Consider the following 24,665-nt stretch of genomic DNA (forward strand, 5'->3'; position numbering starts at 1 on the left):
AAGTCCTCTGAGGACCAGGAGTGAAGTTTAATGGTGGGTGGCGCGCGCCCCCTTCTGGCAATATGTGGTTTACACACCTGGATTCTTCAGGAAGAGACCTTCCTTAAGGATCTCTAGGAATCTACTAAGAAAACTCATTTTACACGAGTACCCATTCAGGGAAAAGATAATAAAACGTTTCTTAGAATTTTTTTTGAGACGGAGTCTCCCTCTGTCGCCCAGGCTGGAGTGCAGTGGTGTGATCTCGGCTCACTGCAACCTCCGCCTCCCGGGTTCAAGTGATTCTCCTGCCTCAGCCTCCCGAGTAGCTGGGATTACAGGCATACGCCACCATGCCCAGCTAATTTTTGTATTTTTAGTAGAGACAGGGTTTCACCATGTTAGTCAGGCTGGTCTCGAACTCCTGACCTCGAGATCTGCCCACCTCGGTCTCACAAAGTGCTGGGATTACAGGCGTGAGCCACCGCGCCCGGCTGTTTCTTAGAACTTTAAAAGCTGAAATCAAAATATTTTTAGAGAATCCCATGGTACTGGAACACACTGGCTAGGAGGTCAGGGAAATAATTCTATATTATTTCTGTATTATTTCAAGGTTCTCCAGACAGACAGAACCACTAGGATATACAGATCAGTAGATATATGACAGGAGGCTTACTAGGGGCGTTGACTCATGGGATTATGGATGCCGAGAAGTCCCACAACAGGCAGTCTGCACGTTGGAGACGTAGGAAGGCTGGTAGTGTGGTGGGTCCAAGTCTGAAGGCCTGGGAACCTGGGAAACCCGTGGTGTAATTCTCAGTCTCAGGCCCAAAACCTGAGAACCTGGTGGTGAGCGGGTGATGGAGCAAGTCCCAGAGTCCAAAGACTGGAGAACCTAGAGTTCTGATGCCCAAGGACAGGAGAAGAAGGGTGTCCCAGCTCCAGGAGAGAGATAAAACATTCACCTTTCCTTTGCCTCTTTGTTCTGTCGGGGCCCCCAGCCGATTGCATGGTGCCCACCCACATTGAGGGCACAACCAGTCATGTTGACACCAAAAATTAACCCTCACAAATACCAAGAGTTCATAGGGACATGAGCAGCCAGAACTCTCATACTGCTAGTTGGAGTGTAAAATGGTGCAGCCACTTTGGAAAATAAAGCAAAGCAAATACTTCCCATGCAACCCAGAAATTCCACTCCTTGGTATTTACCTAAGATAAATGAAAAAGGATATCCACACAAGATCTGTATGTAAATATTCATAGAAGCTTTATTCATAACCAAAAACTGGACACAACTCAGGCATTCATCACCTGGCCAGTGGGTAAACAAACTGAGGTACATCTGTACAGGCAATAATACTCAACAATAGAAAGGAAGGGAGTCGGGAAACATGCTACAACATGGATGCCTCTGGAAAGCACTACGCTAAGTGCAGAAAAGCGGTCAGAAAAAATACATGCTGTGTGATTACATTGATGTAACATTCTCTAAAAGGTAAAACTATAGGATCAGAAAACAGGCCTGATGGGTGCAGTGGCTCACACCTGTGATCTCAGCACTTTGGAAAGCCAAGATAGGAGGATCGCTTGAGCCCAGGAGTTTGGGACTAGCAGTAACATAGGGAGATCCAGTCTCTACAAAAAATTTAAAACCTGGTGGCACAGACCTGTAGTCCCAGCTACTCAAGAGGCTGAGGCTGGAGGATCACTCGAGCCTGGGAGGTGGAGATTGCAATAAGCTGTAGTAAGCTGTGATTGTGCCATTGCACTCCAGCCTGGGCAACAGAGCAAAACCCTGTCTGAGAAAAAAAAAAAAAAAGAAGCCTATGGTTGCCAAGGGCTGGACTAGTGGGAGGGAATGGTCTGCAAGGAAGCATGAAGAGGCATTGCTTGGTCTCAGGAGCAGGACATGGGCTCCACCCTGTCTCTCTGAAGTGGCCTTATCTGCTGCCTTTCCATCTCCATGTGATGGCCTGTCTGGGTCACGCCTATGGTGCAGGCCTGGCTATTGACTCAACTCCCACCCCAGCTCCTTGGTGTGAGGATCCTGCACATAGCTGGCTGTGAACGGGTGCTCAGGGCATGCTTTGCAGACCCACTTCTCATCCCAGTGCAAGGTCTAGATTTGTGGAGAGGTAGGAGGAGGCCTCAGTAGGCATAGCACAAGGCCCTGAACTGTGCAGTGGTGGTGAGGAGTCCTAATTGATAAAGCTAAGATGTAGAGTCCCATCGGTTTCTTGTGTACTGATAAAAGCACAAAGGACAGACAGGGTGATTACTTGGGTGGGACCCCAAGCCTATGATAATAGGGAGAGGTTGTTCATCCAATGACCATTTGCATGTGCACAGACATGTCCAAATGTGCAAAATGATATCGTTGTGCCCGTCTCCTCCTTAGAGTACATTCTCTTGCTGCTGGATGGCGTTGGTCATATTCCTCTCCAGCTCAAAAACATTTGCTTACGCCCCACGGCAATTGAATTTTCTCAGCCAGAGTTCTGGATTAAAAGCAACAGAAACCAACAATGGCTAGTTTAAGTAGAAAAATTATTTTTTTAAGCTGATGGAAGGTGGATCTCAGAATGTCCCAGAGATCTACACTCTGGAAATGATGCCTAGAATCATGCTGGTCCAGAGAGGACCCGACTTCCACCAATGCTGGGCCTGGATGTACAGCGTGCACCACAAGCTTCAGCACTGGCTGTTGCTGCTAGAGCCACAGCAGCTGCCTGTTTGTGCCGCCCTCACCAGAATGGACTCTGCTGCCTTCTGCCATTCAGTCTGGGGCCGGAGCATCTGATTGGCTGAGCCTAAGTCATGTGCCCACAGCCTTGCTGGAAAGGAGGCTGGGAAAGAGAGTATTTGGCCTTTCCAACTGCTATGCTGGGAACTGTGCTCTTCTCAAACTTTAGAAGGGGATTCAGATGCTGGATTACCAAGATAACAAATGTCTATGAAACTAATAGAATTCTAGCTCCTCAAGCTGATAGCAGAGACCCTCTATAATCTGACCAACCTTCTCCTTATGAAACCCACACTGTGGATAAACAGAAGAAACCCCTGTTTTCTAAACGGGCCTGGTGCTTTCCTTCTGCAGGCTTTAGTTCACGCTGACGTTAGAGCTGTTGTGTGCATTCCTGTGTCAGCCAGCTATTGCCACACGACAAGCAAGCATACAAATCTCAGTGGCATGGTGTTACCTCTCACATGTCTGGGGCTGGGTTGGGATGACATATATATGCTGGGCTCAGCTGGCAGGTCTGCCTCAATCTATAGGACCAGCTGAACATGGCCAGGGCAACTCTTTTCTACGTGAGTTTGAAACCATCCCTATAAACTTTATAAAATTAATCAGCAAAGAAGGGAGGGGGAGAAATGAAAATAAACCAAGCTTGCAGCACACTCAGCATTCATCAGCAAGTCAGCTTGCTCTCTGACCCACCCCTCGTGGTTCCTTACCTGTTGCCTCAGAATAACGTAGATCCTGTTACAAGATCATCGTTCCCTTTAACTGCCCTATAGACAACAATCTGAACATTATAAAACATGAAGATTTCTCTTTTACAAGAGCATAGTTCCCCTTAACTGCCCTATTGCCAACAATCTGAACATTATAAAACGTGAAGATTTCCCTTTGAGATACTCCTTTCAGGTCCTGCATACCAGTGAAACTACTGATGTCAGCTGATCTGAAGGACCCCAGGAGAAGCTGACTTACCAAGGAATCACCCTCCATGGTCCCCTTAAAAGCCCCAGCTCAGAACTCCTCCGGGGGATGGATTTGAGGGTCTCCTCCCAACTCCTTGCTTGGTGCCCTATGATCAAAAACTCTTTCTCTGCTGCAAATCCTGCTGCCTTGGTGTAATTGGTTTGTGACTGCACAGTAGGCATATGAACCTATTGGTCCTATAACAGGTTCAATCTGGGGCCGGCCTGAAGGAACAGCAGCCACCCAGGGCAAGCTCTTCTCATGGCCATGGTAGAAATGCACAGGAGTGACCCTGGAAATGCAAGCACCTGGGAGGCCTTTTAGTTACATCACATCTGCTGACACCCTTTGGATAAACAAATCAACACATATGGCCAAACCCAGAGTCAAGAGGCAAGGAAGTGCTCTCTATTTTGGGGGCTATAAAGTTACATGGCAGGGGGTGTGGACACAGTGAGGGGTGAAGTATTGAGACCAGTCATTTACTCTATCCCAATTGCCTATTTTTTCCCTCAGACTTCAGTTTTTCTAAGCAAGTCCTGTGTACCTCAACTGCCTAGCAGAAAAGGAACGTGGCCTTTAAAAGTAAATGAATGAGTGAATTACAAATATGTAGTGGGAAGGTGGTGATAGTGAGCATACGTCAATGCAAATAACACACATGCATGTCCTGGCAGCTCCAGCTCCCACCACAGCTCCCCACCAACCATGTGCCCCTTATTTCTCAAGGTAACTAGCTAGTCTGACGTCTCAAAATGAGGCATCTCTTCCTCTGGGAGGAAGAGAGTGATGCGGTGTTGTGAGGTTGATGGTTTTCTGGTTCACTGAAATGTTAGTTCCCAAAACTACTTTGGGGAAGCCTTCTCCCTGGGTTCAGCTACTCAGTGTTAGAACAGTGAGCCTTCAACCACTTCTGCCCCCCTCCAACCCACTCTGCTCAAAGCAGATTTTATTAAAAATAAATCAGATCATGTCTCTCCCCAGCTTATGTGCTCCAGTGGCTTTCCCTGACCTTAGGACAAAACACTAACCTGTCTCCAAGGCCTGCAGGCTCTCATATCCTCACCCCGTTATCCAACCACACTGGCTTCAACCTACCCCATTTCCACCAACCCCACTCCTCTCCTGACTGACCTCACTATTATGATCAAACGCACACACAGCCCCCTCATTGTCAATGGCAAACAGACCCCATTTTTGTAACTGGACCCCTCCTCTCTCTTCCTAGTGCCACTGCCTTAGTCCTCTCCTCCTGCCTCTCTCACTGGGATCATACCCCTACTGGCCGCCCAGCAAATTACTCTTACCTTACTCAGGCTGGAATTCCTACGGCGCACCTGCAAGAATCATTTCTCCAGAAAATTGATGTGAGGACACATTATTTTCTTGTTACCCTCTCTTTCAGGAAACAAATGACCAATTCCTTAGCCCTGTTTGCAAAGTCTCCACCAAAGTCTGGTGCTGCCTCTGTCCTCTACACCCCCCACCCACCACCCTGTGTGACCACTTGCAAACTCATTTCTTGCTGACTTTTCAGATTCAGATCCATCTGCTTGTAATGCTTCGCCTTCCCTCAGTGGCAAGTTCCAACATGCAATCCAAGGCCCAGTCAGCAGTCACTTCTGTAAAACCTTCCTCTGCTCCTCAAGTTCCTCTCTCCTTCACTCATACCTCAATTGTTGCACACAGCTCATCATTTTGTAATTACTTCTGTACCCAGTACATCCAACAAGCAGGACTCCCAGATATGATAAAAAGCACATTTATTTTTGCTTAGTGAGAACAGTCCTTCCCTTGACACTAGATAAAATCTTGAACAGATCTGTGACTGTTTGGTGGATCACTTTCAGATCATTTAAAAGTTTTACAGACCCTGTAAGTGATGAATATTGTCTCAAGTCAAAAATTAGAGCTGTATAGAGCCTGTAGGAGCCCACGCTGGATGTTCATGAAACTCAGCCTGTTCCATGTCTCTTCCTTAGCCAGGCCTGGCAGCTCAGCTGCTGCCTAGGGAAGGGGCCAGTCATCTCCTGTCCTGCTGACCTCTTGCTGCTCTTGGTAGTTGCAGATTCTGACATATGCCCCAGCCACCCCCATCGCAGGGTTGGGTCACTCTCGTGAGAGGACTGTATGTATTCCTGTGGTCCTCATGGATGTTTAAAGCCAACTCTTCCATGGGAAGGCCTGTGGGTTTTCCCAGGCTCCCCTCTGACCAGGATCCCCTGACATGGGCCTCTCCTGATCCCACCTTCACTTCTGCTCCAGAACTACACCCCACAGCCTCCCACTGCCAAGGTCCCCTTATCCTTTCTAAAGACCTCTGGCTGACTTTTGAGCATACATCCCTGCCACCAGGACTGATCCTGCTTTGACCCTCCATCAGCCCAGCTCTGCTGCTCTGGGCCCCTTCAGCTTCCTCAGGCCAGAGTGGGGCTCCAGCTCCAGTGCTCTGGGACCCAACTGGGGGAATCCACGGCAAACTCTCTGGGTGGCCTTGTGGAAGCCCTTCTCGCTAAGCCTGGAGTCAGGAGGAAGCACTGACCCCCAACCCTCTACCTTGAGGATGGGGTTCCTAGCCCAGTTTTCTCCATGAAATCCTTTTAAAAAATCAATGAGGGTCAGGTGCGGTGGCTCACACCTATAATCCCAGCACTTTGGGAGGCTGAAGAGGAAGGATCACTTGAGCCCAAGAGTTCGAGACCAACCTGGGAAACATAGTAAGACCTATCTTTACAAAAAATTAAAAAATGAGCCAAGCTACTCAGGAGACGGAGGTGGGAGACTCTCTTGAGACTGGGAGTCCAAGGCTACTATAAGCCATGATGGTGCCACGGAACTTTAGCCTGGGTGACACAGCAAGACCCTGTCTCAAAAAAAAAAAAATCAATGATTCTATCAGCATTATGTCATCCCTTTTATATCTTTAATCTTCAAGAAGGGCCCAAGAACAGTTTAACTGGTTTTCAACTGATTTGTCTGACAGCTCTGTACATGGTCTAGGGCCTCCTTTACAGAGTGGCATTATCGTAGCTTGATGCCTTGGTTGAAACTGCCCACTTCATATCTGGTTACACTTGCTGGTCTCTCTCCTCCAGCAAGCAATCCCATTCTCAAGTGGGACTGATGTCTTAGACTTCTGTGCCCCTGCTGAGAAGCAACATCCTTGACACAGCCCTTTCCTCTTCCACCCCCATCATCATCTGTCACTGGCCTCCTTATCCATCTGGCTCCTGGGGAGCTCTCAGCCCTGTCCCCTTCACTCCATCCCACATCACCCATCGTCCTGGTCCTCACCACCACCAGCAGCCTCCTAAATGGCCTCCTTTCAAACACTCTGGGCCCCAGCAGTTTCACATTTCACGCTGCAGCAGGGTGAGGTTTTTCGGTGTCAATCTGATCATGTCCTCTTCCTCCTTATGACCCTTCAAGGACTAGCTGATTCTCTTAAAATCAAAATCAATATCAGTTATGGGGCCACCTTTCCCCATAGGGTCTCACCTCTGTCCAGTTCTCCAACTTTATCTCCCACCATGTCCCCCTCCTTTTCCGGGCAGGAGCGTGCTGGCCTTCCGTAAGGGTCCCAAGCTCTCTCCCGCCTGGAATTGCATCCCCCACAACTCCACCTAGCTAACCCTGTCTCTCCCGGGAAGCCCCCCTTGGTGCTCAATCCCAGTTCGTTGCTACCTGTCTGAGCCTCTCATAGCACTTGCATGTTCCTTTGTAGTATGGTTTATAACGAAAACATTCAGCAGTGAGGTTTTTTTGATTACCTGTATTTCTCTGGCCAGACACTATGTTCCATGAACATAGTGATTGAATGTGCATTTGCAACTCTTGTATTCTCAAATACTCAAGTAGTTTGACCTAAACAGGGGTTCGAAACATATTTGTTGAATGAATGAAGTGACAAATAATATGCATTTGATAAATATTTATTAAACTATAATCACTTTAATCTTCAGCTCGTTCATACATTCATTCATTCAAAAATATGTATTGAAGTTCCACTTCCCTGTTCGTCAGATCTTTTTCTTACTATGATATACAGAAGACAGGCCAGGCACAGTCGCTCATGCCTATAATCCCAGCACTTTGGGAGGCCAAGGCAGGAGGGTGGCTTGAGCCCAAGAGTTTGAGACCAGCCTGGACAATATGGCAAAATCCCATCTCTAATAAAAATAGAAAAATTAGCTGGGCATGGTGGTGCACACCTATGGTCCCAGCTACTTAGGAGGCCGAGGTGGGAGGATCACCTCAGCCCAGGAGGCAGAGGTTGCAGTGAGCCAAGATCATCCCACTGCATTCCAGTCTCAGAATCAGAGTGAGACCCTATCTAAAAAAAAAGAAAAAAAAAAAAAAAAAAAAAAAAGGCAATGCCCAGGTCTCAGAGATGACCCTCCAATAGTAACCTTAGGTTCCGTTATTGTTTGCTTGAGTGTCTGACATTTTACAATTGTCATAATGAAACATTTGAACATCTTATAGCTGTCACCAAAATTCATCTTAGAGAGGAAATGGTCCTCTTTGAGAAAATATCTTTGGAAGGTAGAAGGTGAGCAGAGACCCAGGCTCAGCAGGAGACCAAGCAAACAGAGAATGATTCAATAGCTCCAAAGAGACAAATGGGGAGATGGAGAGATGAGAAAAGGAAGGCCAAGAGGGAAGAGGTGGAAGAGAGAGGCCAGAGAGGTAGGGTAAGGCCAAAGTCATGAGGAGTGTCCACACCAGAAACTTGGCTGGTGGCTGGGCTGTCTCTTTTTCAGGATGTCTGAAGTGGTCTCAATCCCTTTCCCACTGCTTCCCACTACACTCTGGGACACACTACACCATCACAGATATCAAGGAAAGTGCTGCATCTAATATCTGGATGGTCAACAAATATAAAACAGAAACATGCCCAAAAGCAGGAGTCTGAAGGCAGTGGAGTCATGGAAACACCAGTCCCTAGGGATTTGCAGAAATCATGGGGAAGGCTTTGGGCTTTTCCAAGATGTGGATCTGGGGACTCCAAGCAATGTTAACTACATTTCATGGGGCAAACAGGCTCAAGCCCGGTATTTTGCACATAAATGCAAACAACTTTTGATATAATTCTGTCTTAAATACACTCAAGGAGATTGGCATTGAATGAAGTTTGTTTTTTTTTTTTCTTTACAAATGGGTAATTAGTACTCAGATGCCCTCAGTGTGACTTTGGACATTGATAGAGCTGCCTTGCTTAGAGAAAGGCAGGTCGCATAGCCATGGGATCTGCTTCCATTATGAGTGTGTCTCAAACCCACCTGTCCCAGGCAGCTCCAGCCCTTAAGGCAGGTAGCTCCGGCCCTCAGGGGCCCTCTGTCCTCCTGCGGAAGCTCCAGAATCCTCTTTCCATGTCATTGTACACCTTCATACACTGTCAATTCAGCATGCCACTCAACTTGATCTTGATCTGGGCTCTAAGCCCCTGCTGTGAGCCCACCTACTCCCTGGGTCAGATAGCTACTCCTGCCAGCCACCCACAGGTCTCCTGATTCTCATGTGCCCTCAACACTGCCCAAAGGTGTGCCCAGGGTGGCCATGGGCTCTTCACAATACCTGGCAGCTCTGCACATTGGGCTGTGCTGCTGTCAGCCCAGTGTGGCACAATCCCCATAAACACACACAAAAACACATATGCGCACACACACACACACTAACACACACACACAGCCACAGCCACAGAGTCTTTGCTAGGTGAACCATTTGACTGGTTTTATTAGATAGAAATTGAGGGCCGTTCAAACACAGTGACAGATACAAAGTACCCTGATGATGTTTTTAGGCATAGCATCACAGTCATCACTTCAGAATCACTACTCAAGGACAGCCACACACAAGCTGGAATTATGCTACAGGAGTTTGTATAAACCACTGCTCCCAGAACAAAATTTGCATAAAAATAAGATCAGGCCTGCAGCCCCCATGTCCCCAAACTGTCTTTGAATGGCACAGCCTTTCTCTCCAGGGCCAGGGGAGGGAGAAAATCAGCAGAGCAAGCAAGGGGCTTTTCATATAGATGGTGTTTCTCCACATCCCAGCAAAGGACATCTCAGGCCTCCCTTCTCTTCTCCATCGGGAAAGGCTCCACGGAGCGCAGTGCAGCGTGACTTGGCTCTTTGAGAGGAAAGCAAGGGAGGGAAGGGAGGCATGCCACGTGGCCGCTTTTTCTTCATACGCAGGAGGCCACTCAGAAATGAGCCGGTGCACCAGCCACTCAGAGAGAGACCCGGCTGCCTTCATGCAGGCTCCTGGGCAGGGGTGCCAGGAAACTGACACCACGCCTGGGCTGAAGCCACTCCCAGGCACAGCCACAGGCACCTGGCTCCAGGGCAAAAGGTTTCCACAGCTCCCATGCTGACTCCAGCATCTGTCCTGGCTTTACTTGGGGAGGGAAGTGGCGGGGGATTGGTTCCAAACTGTACCATTGAACAATCCATTGTATGCTTATTGAGATACAGTGTTAATTTTTAAGAAAATACATAGACAAATGCATATATTTCAAAGTTCAAACAATACTGTATTGAAGAAGAGTTATGGCTCTCTGATGGGAGGCGAGTCGGTTCCAGAAAGGGAAGCTGCAGGCCACCAAGACCCTGCCAGGTCCCTAAATTGTATGTGCAGAGTGTGGGAGCCCCAGGGGGCACCAGCTGCCCCATAAAGTGATCTTGAGCAGAGGGACTTGCCCAGAAGCTAGCCACAGTGAGGGCCAGACGTCCCACTGGAGAAGAGTACAGGACGATGGGCTCGGGAGTCCGGGGTAGTCTGGCAGGAGCTGCCACTTGGGACCCCTCCAGCTGCCTCCCACATGGCCAGAGCAGCAGGGGGCCAGCACCATGGTCCCTGACCCCAGCTTGCCCCGCTCTCCTGCTTTGCTCAGGCCTGTGGCCTTGGGTGACTCTGCCAGATACAACTGCCTCCCTTCTGTCCCACTAGGTTCAGCCACCCAAGGCTGCTGGTTCGGGTGCCCTGAGCTTGGCCCCCAAAGAGGAATGAATACGAACAGGTCCCTCCACACAGGTGCTGGGCAGGGCATGAGGCCAGGGTGAAGCCCAGGCCTGGAGCAGACTCCAGATCAGCCTAACAACTTCAGAGGGGAGAAAAAGGTGCCCTAGAGGGCTAGAGCGGGACACTGGCCACCGTCCCCTGCCCTCCAGTTCCTCCCACCTTGAGGAAGCCTTGGCACCCAAAAGGAGATGTCCATCACCCACCATGGGTGCCCTGGGCACACCACGCTATCTTTCTGGGCCTCGGCAAGGAGGGTTGCTACTCTCTGCCCTGTCCTCCTTGCAGGAACGCAGCGAAGTCCAGTAAGAAAATGGATGGTGAAGGTGTGGAGAAAGTAAAAGTGTCACTTTCCCCCAGAAATGGTCATCTTTTTAAATTCACCAAAAAACACCCAGGCCTGAGTCACTGCAGAGCCAGCACACCCCTAGCTGAAGTCCTGACCCTCCTGCCCCACACAATAAGGACAACACAAGCAGAATCAGAGGTGCAGAAAGAGGATGATCAGCCACACCATCACCCACACTGCAAAGTCCCTTGGAGATGGGAAGGTGGAAGGGGCTTGTCCCCCCACCACCTGCCCTTTTTTCTTAGGAGAGAGGTAGCAGGAGAGTCTCCAATGTCAGGGGGAAAATGTTAAGTTCAAAAGAGTGAGTTTGGCCGGGCACGGTGGCCCACACCTATAATCCCAGCACTTTGGGAGGAGGAGGTGGGCGAATCACGAGGTCAGGAGTTCACAACCAGCCTGGCCAAAATGGTGGCCCCGTCTCTACTAAAAATACCAAAAATTAGCTGGGCAAAGTGGTGGGCGCCTGTAATCCCAGCTACTTGGGAGGCTGAGGCAGGAGAATCACTTGAACCTGGGAGGCGGAGGTTGCCGTGAGCCGAGATCATGCCACTGCACTCCAGCCTGGGTGACAGAGTGAGACTCCATCTCAAAAAAAAAAAAAGAGTGAGTTTACCCATCTCGCCTATCCTTCATCATCAGATCATCAACCGTTTCATTTATGTGAACTTCCAGGTCACTGAGCATTTATCTTTTAAGCACCAAGACTTTTGTGAAAGTATTTTAACTGTTTGGGGATGGAAATAATTCTAAAGTGGATAAAACGCAGCCCTGCCTTCTTAGACAGTGTATTGAACATTGTTGGAACGCTTTTTTACCTCTGCATGTCCTGGATGTCACAGGGTGAACTGAGCTGAAATGCTGTGTTGCTCCCGGGGTTATTATAACATATTCTCCCTCTCTTCCCCACTAAACGACCAACGACCTCAGGCTACTTGATGGTTCCTGAGATATGTATTTAGTTTTGGTCTTTTTTAATTATTATTTTGAGACAGGGTCTGGCTCTGTCACCCAGGCTGGAGTGTAGTGGTATGATCTCAGCTCACTGCAACCTCTGCCTCCTGGGCTCAAGCCAGTCTCCCACCTCAACCTCTTGAGTAGCTGGGACTGACTACAGGTGTGCTTTTGTATTCTTTATTGAGACAGGGTTTTGCCATGTTGCCCAGGTTGGTCGTCAACTCTTGAGCTCAAGCGATCTCCCGCCTCAGCCTCCCAAAATGCTGGGATTACAGATGTGAGCCACCATGCCTGGACATATTTTCTTATCCTTAATGTAGTGTTTTTTTTTTTCCAAAGACAAGCTGTCGTTGAACAAGTAAACTAGTTTTGGTCTTCTTAATGCCATCACAATTTAGGCTATTAGCTGCCACTTCTTGCTTTATCTAGCACATGTCATCATTCTCTTAGTTTGCTTTGTCATTAGAAATCAGAACCAAGTTCACTAGAACTGAATTTAAAATCAAAGCAAATGCCGTGAGATATGTGATATTAGCAAAATGGTTGGCCCTTGATACACAGCTTTATAGCATCTATTTTCAGGGGCTCAAAATTATTTTCCTTCAACTGAGTCCTCAGTTACCTGGGGGCTGAGTGAATTTGCTGGGTTCGATCCTAGGAAGTGAGTTGTGTTTTCACCCTGCCTCAGTAAAACAGTAGCCATTTCCACTTTTAATAAGTCTTTGAGATCTCCAGAGGCTCTTGTCAACTTTGTCGCTGAATGTGGAATTCTGAGCTCTCATGGGGGTTGAAGTTGCCCACGTTGTGGGGGCATCTTTGGAGGAGGGAGACTAGATTGAGGCAGAAACCAGGTACTAACTCTCTGGTTTCAGCTCAAGCCTGTTCCAAAGTATGATAGAAAAGGAAATGCATAAAGAAGTGAGGCTCTAACCCTAGCTCCTGGGCTCACGGCAGTCCTGGTGCTGTGTTTCCTCATTGCTACCTTCCATGTTTGTGCACAGATGTGGAGGTGGGCAGAGGGCTGGGTCTGCATCAGAAAACCAGGCTTTCCCCCAGGTGGACCAGACAGGTCCTCCCCATGCTAGAGGGCCAAGTGTGTGGTACTCAGATCCTACCCAGCGCCGGTCACAAGGTGACCCTCACCCAGGCACAGGCTGAACCTATTGCTGCAGATCCACCAACCCCTTAGCTCAGATCACTAAATGCATCCTAATCTTAGGCACAGATAAATTCTTAATTCAGGCAGACTCTGAGGCTCCTAGCCCCGGGAGAAGAAATCTATGTTACTTTGCTTTAAAAATATGTCATAATATTTATCTGAATGCTAAAATGTTCAGAAAAAGAAAAGCTGGTACCTTTAAGAAGTCTCACGCCTGAGTCAGACTGAGGGAAGGAAGGGTCCACCAACCCCCAACCAGGAAAAAGAACAGGGCAGCAGAACAGGGCCAATCTCATTAAAGGATCATCTAGAGCCATGAGCCTCCAAGTGCAGTCCCTGGACCAGCATTGGCATCACCTGGGAACTTGTTAGAGATGCTCCACCCTGGCCTCACCAAATAACTCTGGGGCGGGGCCCATAATCAAGGAGCTCTCCAAGAGATTCTGAGGCAGCCTCCAGTTTGAGAACTGCTGACCTAGAATAGTGGTTCTCAAGGCTGGCTGCACATTAGAAACATCTGGAGAATTTGTGAAATCCTAATATTCAGGTCACATCTCAGACCACCTGACTCAGAATGTCAAGGGGTGGGGTCGCACGAGTATTTCTTAAAGCTCTTCAGACGACTCTAGCGTGCACCAAGGCATAGACTGCCTGCCTTAGGGTAATGACTCCCAACCATGTGAGACAGAACCACTTAATGAGATCTTTCAAAATAGGGATACCAGGCCCTATCCCCAGGCCTGCTGAATCAGATCCTCCGGGAAGTAAAGGACCTGGCTTGGGGATTATTTTATAAAGACTTCCAGGTGATTCCTATGTACACACAAGGTTGCAAATGGCAATTCTAGAGAAAACAGAACTTTTACCCCAAAGCTGAGCAGATCATTTAGTTGAAGGAAATGAGAGATTTGTTGCCATGGGAACCATCTTCAACTGAAGAGAGAGTCACTGATTTCTGGCTTTTGTGGCCAACAGCTAAGTCATGGAAGTGTATGTTTTTGCTTTTGGTTTTTTTCCTTTGAAATAAAAAAAAAAAAAAAGAAAGGTTCTCAGAAGAGACTGTGCAGGGGAAAATACCTAAAGACTTCTAAAAGATCAGCAAGGCTATTGTCTCTCAGGACATGCTGGCCAGGACAGTGGAGCCCAGGTGGCAGAGCAAGGCCAGGTCTGCACTCTCCCTCAGCAAGGGGCCAAGGTCTCAGGAAGCCAGGGGCCAACGACCAGCCCAGGACAACTGCCCAAGGCAAAAACAAAAACAAAAATCAGATTTCTGCTTTAGGGACACCCAAAACAGTTAATGTCATTTGAGAGCTGCTTGCACCTAAGTGATTCTAAAAAGTCTCTGGTATACTATACTAAGTGAAATAAGCCAGTCATCAGAAAGACAAATATTATATGATTCTACTTATATGAGGGACCTAGAGCAGTAAAATTCATAGAGAAAGAAAGTAGAATTGCGATTGCCAGGGGCTGGGGAAGGGGGAAGTGAAGACTTGTCATTTAATGGGTTTAAAGTTTTCATTTTGCAAGATGAGAAGAGTTCCAGAGACAGAATATACAACAGTGTGAATGTACTTACCATTACTGAACTGTACACTTAAAAATGGTTAAGATGATAAATTCTATGTTATGTGTATTTTACCATAATTACAAATGAAAAAGAAATCTTTGTTTGTGTTAAAGCAAAACCAATTTTGTAAATGTTAGATTCCCGAGCACTTGACTTTTGTTGCTAGGTACATAGTGGGTTATATATTATATTTGTATGTACAGAAAAGGCAGAAGTTGGGTTGTGTGCCAAATTCTTCTTTTCATTCTTTTCCTACTCAAGGCTCCAGTCTGAATTTCAAGCCATACATGGCCACTCAACTGGTGGCAACTTCTGAACCACAAGCAGTTGTATGCTCAGGGAACAGATAGGGCCTCACACATGCTGATTCCCAGGCGCCACCTCTCCCCCAGGTTCTCAGTCCATAGTTTTAACAAGCACCCAGGTGATTCTGATGCAGGCCATCAGAAGGCCATCCTACAGGGCATCCTAATAAACCCATGTGATCTTCAAAGGGTAGACTGTAGATCTATACTGTAGATCTATACTGTAGGTCTATCCAGTCTACCCTTTGAAGATCACACTGTAGATCTATCCAGTCTACCCTTTGAAGATCACACTGGTTTATTAGGATGCCCCGTAGGATGGAATCAGCCTCCACAGACTGGCCTCGTTTGACTAGACCTCTAAACAATAGCACAAGGCACACCCTGGCCACTGGTGCACCCCTCGCCTGGCCTCACCTGACCCCTGAGCCACAGTTAGCCTCTTCCCAGAGGGTGCTCTGGTTACAGGGAGGAGACTAGGTCAGGGCGTGTGTTGAGCTCAGAGAAGCAGCACCTTTTTTCCCCCAGGAAACAACCCCATGCTCCTGGTCTTCCCCTTCGCATCTGGAGCAGACATCCTGCAAAGCTCAGCTCACCTGTTTCCCAGCCAAAGCATTCAGCATGTTCCTCTAGTTTTTTAAACACCATTGATAAATCCCTCTTACATTGCTTCCCAGGCTGCACCTCAGCCACAGTGATGTAAGAGCCTGACATGTTTGTGTGGCTTTGAGGAAGGGAAGAAGTAGACAACAAGAAACACAGAAAATGTCTCTCCCTTCTTTCATTTAAACTAGAGGAAAAAGGATTGGCTAGCCAGCAAAAAGCAGATGAGCAGGATTATAATGAGGGAAAACAAAAAGAGGCTAGCCAAGCCCATAAGCCCCCACTAGACAGACATTTCAGCCTCCTGAGCCCCGAGCTCCCCTGGACAGGCAGGAGGAGTCTCTGCCTTCCTGGGATGTGCTAGGTAAAAAAATCAATAGAGGACTCTCCTCAGCTGACAATTTCCCCAAGGTGTTACTCAGTTTATTAGCGGGGTATCCTGAACTGCTGGAGTCCCCCAGGAACCAGAGACCTCATTACTGTAGTAAACATGTGTTGAGTGGCCATGGCATGTGCTTCCCCGCCAGTGCTGGCAATACAAAATGAGCTTAGATATCGTGTCTTCCCTTGGGGAGAAGGCAAACCTTCTATCAAGGACACACGGGCCCTTATGCTGTGTGCTGTGAGGATGTCCTAATGGAGTCGGTGATGGTTGCAGCAGAAGCACAGAGGAGAGAGTGCCCAGCCCAGGTCTCTAGAGGGGAGGATGCAGGGGGCCATTACCTGACTTCTGCAAAAGTGGCCAGATAAAAGGAAGGAGAGAGGAACTTAGGAGTGTGAGGGCCATTCCAGGTGTTTGAACAGAGTGTGCAAAGGTGCCTGGAATAGTATGGGATAGGGCAGGGAGGTGGCAGGAGGATCTCTGGGAAGGTGAGTAAGCCAGCTTGGGACATTCCCTGCATGACTTGGTAAAGAACCTGAAGTTTATGATACAGGTAGGCAATGGGCCCCACAAAAGGTATTTTTGGAAGGTTATTCTCTGAAAGCAAAAAGATCCATCAGATGGTCTGGGTTAGGGCAGTAGCAGAGGGGTTGCAGGGAGGGAATGACTTAAAGGGATGTTTATGAGTTGGAATTGACAAGATACAGTGAACAAATAGACATAAAGAGTGAAGGAGAAGGAAGAGGCAAAGGTGATCCAAGTTTTGGGCCAAGGCAACCTGTGCTTGCTAGTGTCTAGTTTGTGCTGGGCACTGTGCTAGGCATTGTGCAACACTATTTCACTTAGCTTTGCAACAGCTGTTGTGGTTGGTATCCTGTCCTCATTTCAGATGATGAGTCCAGAGCCTCCAGGGGCTTCTGGAGCTCCCTCAATTTCACACAGCTACGAAGTAGTAGGAGGAGACTCTGAGTTCAGATTGTTCTTTTAACTATACCAGTTGAGGACATGTTGAGGTCTGAGATGCTGTGCAGACACAGACATGCAGGAGGCCACAGTGAGCATGCTTCCAATGCTCCTAGGGAGGACTGGCCTGCAGGTAGAGGGGTTAAGATGCCAGGGCAGAAGATACTTAAGGCTTTGAATAGATGAGATTTCTGCAGGAATGCTCCTAGGAAGAGAAGAGAACCCTGAGGAAGCTTCACGGAAGATGAATCCACAAAGGAACCTGAGAAGGAGCATTCAGAGAGACAGGAGGAAAGTCAGGGAAGAATAGTTAGAAAACAGAAGAGGAGAGGACTTTAGAAAGACCAGAGAGACTGTGCATAGTGGCTCACACCTGTAATCCCAGCACTTTGGGAGGCCAAGGCAGGAGGATTGCTTGAGCTCAGGAGTTCGAGACTAGCCTCGTCAACATAGCAAAACCCCGTTTCTACAAAAAAAAAAAAATTTTCAAATTAGCTGGGAGCAATGGCACGTGCCTGTGGTCCTAGCTACTTGGGAAGCTGAGGTGGGAGGATCACTTGAACCCAGGTGTCGAGGCTGCAGTGAGCCATATTTATATCACCACCCTCTAGCCTGGGTGACAGAGGGAGACTCTGTCTCAAACAAACAAACAAAAAAGACCAGAGAGGCCAACCTTGTCAAATGTTACACGGATGTCAAGGATGATATCTGAGAAGTATCTGCTGCTTTGCTCATTACACTTTTTATGCTGCCAACCTTCAGAATTCGGAATTGACTTTGGTCATCCCCTCCTCCACCTCTCCCAGATAACTGTCCCTGAGACTGGATTTGATAGTGTTCAGCACAACCAGCTCCCACGTACGTTTGTGGGATTCGTCATTTAACGTCTGTATACACACACACCAGACCACAAACTCCCGGAGGGCAGGGACGACGTTTTGTTCATCACTAGCTCCCCGGCACCTGGCACCATGCCTGGCACAACATGAGCACTCAATAAATATAATTTATTCACCAATTCACTCACTAAATTGGCCAGCACTCTACTCTGCCTCAGTTGTTTCTAAGCACTGCTCTGCTTCCTCCCTGCTCTCAGCAAAGTCAAGGGCGATGAGCACATGCTGTCTCTGGGCACCAGGTGATTAGTGGGCAGAGCTGCCGCAGCAGCATTGCTGAAATGGTCTCAGACGCTGCCTCTGACCTTGAGCCACCTTTCTTTGTGCTTGGCTAAGCACTGAGTCATTTACTTGTTTTTGCTGCCTTTCAAGCCTGGAGCAGTGGGTTTAGCACAAAGGAAGACATGATGGTTGTTTTGTTTACGGGAATCGATTTCCCTTGAATAATAATTCAATGGGTAGTCTGCACTGCATGGTGGCGTGGTGACAGGGCTGTGGAGGAACATGGCAGAAGGCTTCCAGAGTCAACACCAGGTCTCTCTGAGCCTTTGAAAAAATGTTTTTCTTATAAACACTGGCTGCAGCAGAAAAACTATATCCTGAAAGTCAGGAGACTGGTGAGTCCCAGTTGAGCCACAAGCTGGCCATGTAGCCCTGGGCAAGTCATTCGTGTTGTCACTTAACATGTGCTATCTCTGGGCATCTTTCCTCACCTTAAAAATGTGACGATGGCCTCAGTTCCCCTCCAGTGCCACTGTGGGTAAGTCGCTACTGCTGTAGGCGGCAGGGTTAGGGAGAGGCACCTATAAGCACAGGCTGCTTCCCGGACGATGACAGCCTCCTAGAGCATTTGTCCCTGGAGGAGGGCCCCGTACTATCCTGCAGGGGCATCTTGGTCAGGATCCCTCATGTTCTGGTGTCACTGTCTGGGAAGCTAAGACAGAGGTTTGGAGCACAGACTTTGGGGCTCTACAGATCTGGGTGCAGTTCCCTCCATTGGGTGCCGTTCCCTCCATTGGGTGCCTGACCAAGGGCAAGTCCTGGAATTGCTTTAAGCCTCTGTCTCCTCATCTGTACAATGGGAGCCTCCTTACCCAAAGGGGTCTCATGATGATTACAGGAGATAATATAGGGAAAGTGCTTAACGTAGCTTGATAAATGCTAGCTAGTATAATGAGAAATATTAATTATGGTTTAGATCCATTCATCATGAATGTCCCCCCAAAATAAGGACATTGTACAGACGCTGAAGATTTTTACAAAGCTTCTAGTTGTAGAGATGAGGAAACTGAGACATTGAGGGAGAGGAAGGACTGGCCCTAAGACCCACAGGCAGGAATATGGCCAGCAGCCAGGTGTCCCAACTCCTCTGTGGGCTGGATCCCGATGCTCCAATCCTCAGCTCCTACGAGGGCCCTGGCTGGGGCAGATTCCAACCTGCAACACCCTCAGCTGTGGGAATCCTGATGTCTGTGTCACCAGGGAGCCTCCCCCAAACACTGCCCATCTGGAACATAACTAGTACCCAGAGGGCTTCCAGTAGAGGGCTCTGTCCACAGCAGGCACTCAGTAGAGCCCCAGGCATGACTTGACCCAGTCACATCTTTGCTCTGGGCCTGTTTCCTAAAGTGGAACAAAATGGTCTTTAAGAACCTTCTAGTTTTTATATTCCATGGTTTCAAGAACTGGGTTCAATTAACCATGCAGTGGCTAGAAATCTCAGGTAACTGGAATCTTTCCCAGAAATTCCCTCCCTGGGAGAAATAGGCAGAGCTCAAGCAAGTAATAACCATCCACTGTCCTTTGCAGTTCTTCCTGGTTTAGCAGGTGTTTGGGATCATTTCATCCCCTTGGCTACTCCCCTACATTCCTGACCAGCAGACTGAGACTCAGAGCCACCTGAGGTTTTCCCAACCAGGACCAGAGCTCAGAATGCAGGTGAGAGTCAGCACTGAGAACAGTGTTGTGCACAGGGCACAGGTTCCACAACAACCCCCCCACAGGAAGCCCAAGCCAAGACACAAAAGTTTGGCCAAGAACGGAGCCCTGGATCAGGAGCCTGGAGGCCTGGGATAAAGCCTGCACTCTCCACGTCCCTGACTGGCTCAGCCGGGGGGCCTGTCAAATGAGGTGATTGGATAGCAGATCCCACTCCCTGATAGACTCTTACAGCTCCTAACCCTCCCAGAGCACCCAGCACGTGGGACTGGGTCTATAATCTCTGGGCCCTGCACCCCCAGAAGACACAGATAATGCCTTTGTTTATCCTTATGTCTTCCTAAGTCCAACCACAGACCAAAGCAGAATAGGCTTTCCAGAAATGTTTAAGGGGAGGAAGAAAAGAGGAAGGGAGGGAAGGAGAAAGGGGAGGAGGCAGGGAGAAAGGAAGGAGGGAGGGAGACAGGTTGCCAGGCAGGTAGGCTGAAGTCCTCCTCCCAGCACTAACATCCTATGATTCCACAAAGCTAAGTTCTAAGGCAGTTAGTTCACCAACAGTGTCTCTTAGACACCATCCCATTTATGGTGGAAACACCACAGGGAGAAGCAAAGGGAATTAATTTCAGATGTGAAATGATATGTGAACCCCTCTCTGCCTAAGCCCAGCTGACTGCCCCAAGCCCAGGCCCTGGGGTCTGCTGTGAGAAGTCCCGCCTTCACAGCGGAAGCCTCAGTGATGCTGGTGTCGGAGGCCACAACTCGTTTCTCTCTGCTAAGCTCACCACCTGACATGTCAGTGCTTTCCAGCCCAGAGCCTATGGTTCCGACTGAGGAACACGATACAGCAGGATTCTGCAGGATTCAGAGACATGAGAGGAAGAGGTCTTTATAAATAACTCCTGGTTTAAATGGAGCTGAAAATAGGAAGACAAAAGAGGAAGCCAATTGCTAAGCACTTATTGAGTCAATAACATTGGCTTGGAAGCCATAGTGCAAGTGGCTGGTTTGGTTTATTTCCTTCTCATCAAAAGAGCTAACGCAGGATTGAACCTGGGGGCACCAAGACCGCATGTGTGTCCGAGGATGTGTCTGAAAGGATGTGGTGCTTCTCAGATGATGATGTCTCGACTAAGACATAACCCAGGCCTTGGGTTAGATCTCTCGGTGTCACAGAAGAACCTGTCGGGTGGTGTGGCTTGGCTGTTAAGTCCCTGGACCTCTTGAGATCACTTTCTTCACTGGAAGGTCTAGTCACTGGGTTGGCTTCTAAGCTCTGAGATTTAGATAGCAATTCATAGCTAAGTCTTCGATATAAAACACAGGAACCAAAAGTGTGAATAAAATCTTGACTGTGCTCAAGTGTCCTGTGAAGTGTCCTGTCTCCACTCTCAATTCCATTCTCTGTAGGGTCTTCCTTCAGCTGCAACAAGGGCCTGCAGTTTGTGCTCTCTCTCGGATGACAAAATTGGGTGGAAATGTGCTTTATTCACTTGCCGTCCCCAGGGCCCCTGATCTTGGGGTGTGGCCCAGCAGCATGCTAGCCAGGGCAGGTGGACGCACTGGGCGGATGCACCGGTGGGGGCCAGGCCAGGAGGCTCAGCACAGAGCTGACTCTGCCCCGGTTCCTAACCCTGCCTCCCTACCCCAGGATCCAAGTACAGAGCTGAACAATGGAGGGAGAGACAGCCTGAACGCCAGGACCCCACGCTGCCCGGTTCGGGGCTCCCAGTTCCACCAGGAGGGACAGCAGGAGAGGGGGCGCCGCTTGCCGGGCAGCCTGGCTGGCAGCCATCAGCAGCAGCTGCAGGTGCCCGTGTGCACGCGGAGGATGCCTCGGCTGTGCAAGTGCAGGAAGTTGAAGATCTCAGAGGGCATGGCGTGGAAGCCGGGACGCGGCTTGACGTTGTCATAGTAGTGGTGAGTGATGTAGAGGCCCGAGGGGTTCATGGGGAAGGCCCAGAAGCCAAAGAGGTGCACCTCCTCACAGAGCTCCAGCGCCGCAGTGACCAGAATGAGGCCGGTGCTGATGCGCTTGGCGCGCACCCCCAGGCTGAGCCAGTAGCGCGACACGTTGACCAGGTACTGCGGATGGAAGTAGTAGACAGCTTGCGGCGATTCGAAGTCGTCCAGCACGTACTTGACGCGGATGGACACGTCGGTGTTGCGCGTGTTGTAGAAGGCAGGCAGCAGCACCGACGCGTTCTCGTACACCTGCAGCACGCGATAGAACGGCCGCCGCCACTTCTCCAGCTTGTGGAACCTACACAGGGCGCGAGTGAGAGGTGAGCACCCACTCCTCCGTGCCCTCAGGCCCCTCGCTTCCCCACCCTTGCACCCTGGGGCTTTGCAAAGGACGGAAGGGACTCATAAGGCCACCTGCCTCCTGACACCTCACGCACCTGTGCAGATGAAGGTGAGAACTCTCTCAGGGGCAGTTGAGTTTTTTAAGTGGGTGCAGGAGAGGGCAGTTGGGATCCAAAGGGACAGATATCCAGGGTGTGGCTGCAGGGGGCAGGGCAATGCTGAATCCAAAAGGATGAGGGTGGCCCAAGGGAGGCTCAGAAGGGAAGTGGCTGCGGGAGTGGAGGCTTGCTCTAGAGGCCTCACGCCATTCACCTGTACTGTCATCCCCAAGCTCCCCAGGGACAAACCCCAAATGCAGCTGCCTGTCTTGGCTCAGACGCTTCCTCTCCTGCAGCCTCCGTTTCTCTCTCACACACTAGTGTGTTGTTATTTTTAGAGACACGGTCTTGCTCTGTCATCCAGGCTGGAGTGCAGTGGTGCAATCATAGCTCTGTGCAGCCTTGAAATCCTGGGCTCAAGCAATCCCCCCACCTTAGCCTTCTGAGTAGCTGAGACTACAGGTGTGCACCACAACACTTGCCTATTTTTTTTTTTTAATTTTTTGTAGAGACCAGGGACTAGCTATGTTGCCTAATTTGGTCTCGAACTCCTGGCCGCAAGCCACACTCTGGCCTCAGCCTCCCAAAGTGCTGTGGTTATAGGCATGAGCCACCACACCTGGCCCCATTTCTTTACATTAAGCAGCGTTCCCTCTTGGGCCCTCTCTGACTTTGCTGTCTCTTCCCGCCCCTTAAATAGCTGCTCCCTGGGCATCTGATCCAATTCAATGACCCCCTCCTCTCATCTCCCACTGTCCCCTCCTCTTACATGTCCTCTGACCTGGTTGGTGTGGCTACGCCCGGGGCTAGGGTTTCAACACTTCCCCTAAAACCTTCCAGATGAACCCCAGGAGGGGAGCCAGGAGGGGAGCTGAGATCTCAGTGTGAGCTTCTCCCCAGTACCTCCTGGACACAGCCAGGTAGGGAGCTGCCTGCCCTGGTCACACCCTGGAAAGCTGACCCACCCATCTCTAGGTGAAGGTAGTGTAGACCAGCACCGTCCAAAAGAACTAATGCAGGCCACATATGGAATTTAACAATGTCCGAGTAAGCACATATGAAAAAATGGAAATGGGTGAAGTTTTTATATTTTCTTTAACCCACTATTTCGAAAATACTATTACTTCAACGTGTAATTAATATAACAAGTTAATTAGATATGTTATCCTGTTTTTGTATTAAGTCTTTGAAACCCAGTGTGTGTTTTACACTCACAGCCAGCACACCTCCAGACTAACAACACTTCCAGTGCCCAGTAGCCGCATGTGACTATTGGCTACCATTTTGGACAGTGCAGCTCTAGAAAGAGGGCCACTGACCTCTCTGTGATGATGCTGGGGTTCACAGTGACCACATCCGTCTTCACCCCCACATCCATGGTGTACTTCTCTGAGATGGGGGGCAGGTTGCACCTGCAGAAGAGAAAAGGCAGCCCAAGGTGGTTGGTCATTCAATAGGTCAGGCTGGGGAGGGTGCAGGGGGAGGGGAGGGATGGTGATCATGTGGGCAGAGGGATGCAAAGGCAACCAGCTAGGCAGGTTCTCTGTAGCCAGGTGATAAGACAGTGGTCCTTCTGCTCCTTATCAGGCACTAGGACAGCCAACAGGCCTTGCTGAAGTTCCAGACACATGGGGCAGAGAAATCACTGGTTGTAAAATGCAGTTACAAGCTTGGGTAGTCCCTGGACCTTTGGAGGATGGGATTATGGCTCTTAGAGGACAGGTGGCTGGGGAGCATCTCCTTTCCTAGGGAGCCAAGACTTCCCTGAGGAAGCAATGCTTGAGCAGAGGTCTGAAGGAGGAATTGAGCAAATGTCCTGTGGCAGGAGAAGAGCTACATAAACATGCGATATGTTCGAAGATGCATCTTAGAAATGCAACACATATTGCATGCAAAAGCAAGTTGCCACCATTTGTAGAAAGCCCCATAGTAGGAAGAGTAATAGCCCCCAAAGGTGTCCATGTCCTAATCCCTGGAACCTGTGACTATGCAGCCTTACGTGGCAGAAGGGACTCTGCAGCTGCAATGAAGTTTAGGATCTTGAGATGGAGCCATTGCCCTGAGTTATCTGGGGGAGTCCAGTGTCATCACAAGGGTCTTTATAAGAGACGATGTGACAACCAGGGAGAGAGAAGAAAGTATGTGGCAACAGAATTGGAGTCAGAGAAAGAGACTGAAAGATACTCCACTGTGGGCTTTGCCATGAGCCAAGGAATGCAAGGAGCTTCTAGGAAATGAAAAAGGAAACAAATTCTCCCTGAGAGCCTCCAGAAAGGAATGCAGTTCTGCAGACATCTTGATTTTAGTCCAGTGAGACTTCTGACCTCCAAGACTGTAAGATAATAAAATCTGTGTTGTTTAAACCACTAATTTGGTGGTATTTTTTTATAGCAGCAATAGGAAACGAATACGGCCCTAAACAAGCATAGT

The 24,665-nt window shown here is 49.0% G+C and overlaps 1 protein-coding gene and 1 long non-coding RNA gene across 4 annotated transcripts in view, besides 2 other annotated features; both read right to left on the minus strand.

Moving 5' to 3' along the window:
• On the minus strand, positions 1,783–7,790 carry LOC105372096 (uncharacterized). Its single transcript, XR_935430.4, has 3 exons — positions 4,723–7,790; positions 3,442–3,498; positions 1,783–2,480 (listed from the first exon to the last, which is right to left on the minus strand). It is a non-coding gene; the product is annotated as an uncharacterized LOC105372096 (long non-coding RNA).
• A 1,613-nt stretch (positions 7,791–9,403) lies between these two features.
• Positions 9,404–24,665, minus strand: part of ST8SIA5 (ST8 alpha-N-acetyl-neuraminide alpha-2,8-sialyltransferase 5) — an 89,233-nt gene continuing 73,971 nt past the window's right edge. For all 3 annotated transcript variants that reach the window (NM_001307987.2, NM_013305.6, NM_001307986.2), the window contains 2 exons: positions 23,555–23,647; positions 9,404–22,093 (listed from right to left, as the gene is read on the minus strand). In NM_001307987.2, the coding sequence (NP_001294916.1) occupies positions 21,625–22,093; positions 23,555–23,647 (562 nt within the window). In that variant the 3' untranslated portion in view covers positions 9,404–21,624. The remainder of the gene's footprint in view (positions 22,094–23,554; positions 23,648–24,665) is intronic.
• Positions 17,543–18,390: an enhancer, noted in NCBI's record as "NANOG-H3K27ac-H3K4me1 hESC enhancer chr18:44255923-44256770 (GRCh37/hg19 assembly coordinates)". NCBI's record gives its function as "activates a minimal SCP1, AML or CMV promoter by ChIP-STARR-seq in naive H9 embryonic stem cells {active_cell/tissue: H9 hESC(naive)}" and the evidence as "EXISTENCE:reporter gene assay evidence [ECO:0000049][PMID:30033119]".
• Positions 18,391–19,236: an enhancer, noted in NCBI's record as "NANOG-H3K27ac-H3K4me1 hESC enhancer chr18:44256771-44257616 (GRCh37/hg19 assembly coordinates)". NCBI's record gives its function as "activates a minimal SCP1, AML or CMV promoter by ChIP-STARR-seq in naive H9 embryonic stem cells {active_cell/tissue: H9 hESC(naive)}" and the evidence as "EXISTENCE:reporter gene assay evidence [ECO:0000049][PMID:30033119]".

This window comes from Homo sapiens, chromosome 18 (genome assembly GCF_000001405.40).
Source record: "Homo sapiens chromosome 18, GRCh38.p14 Primary Assembly".
Lineage (NCBI taxonomy): Eukaryota > Metazoa > Chordata > Mammalia > Primates > Hominidae > Homo > Homo sapiens.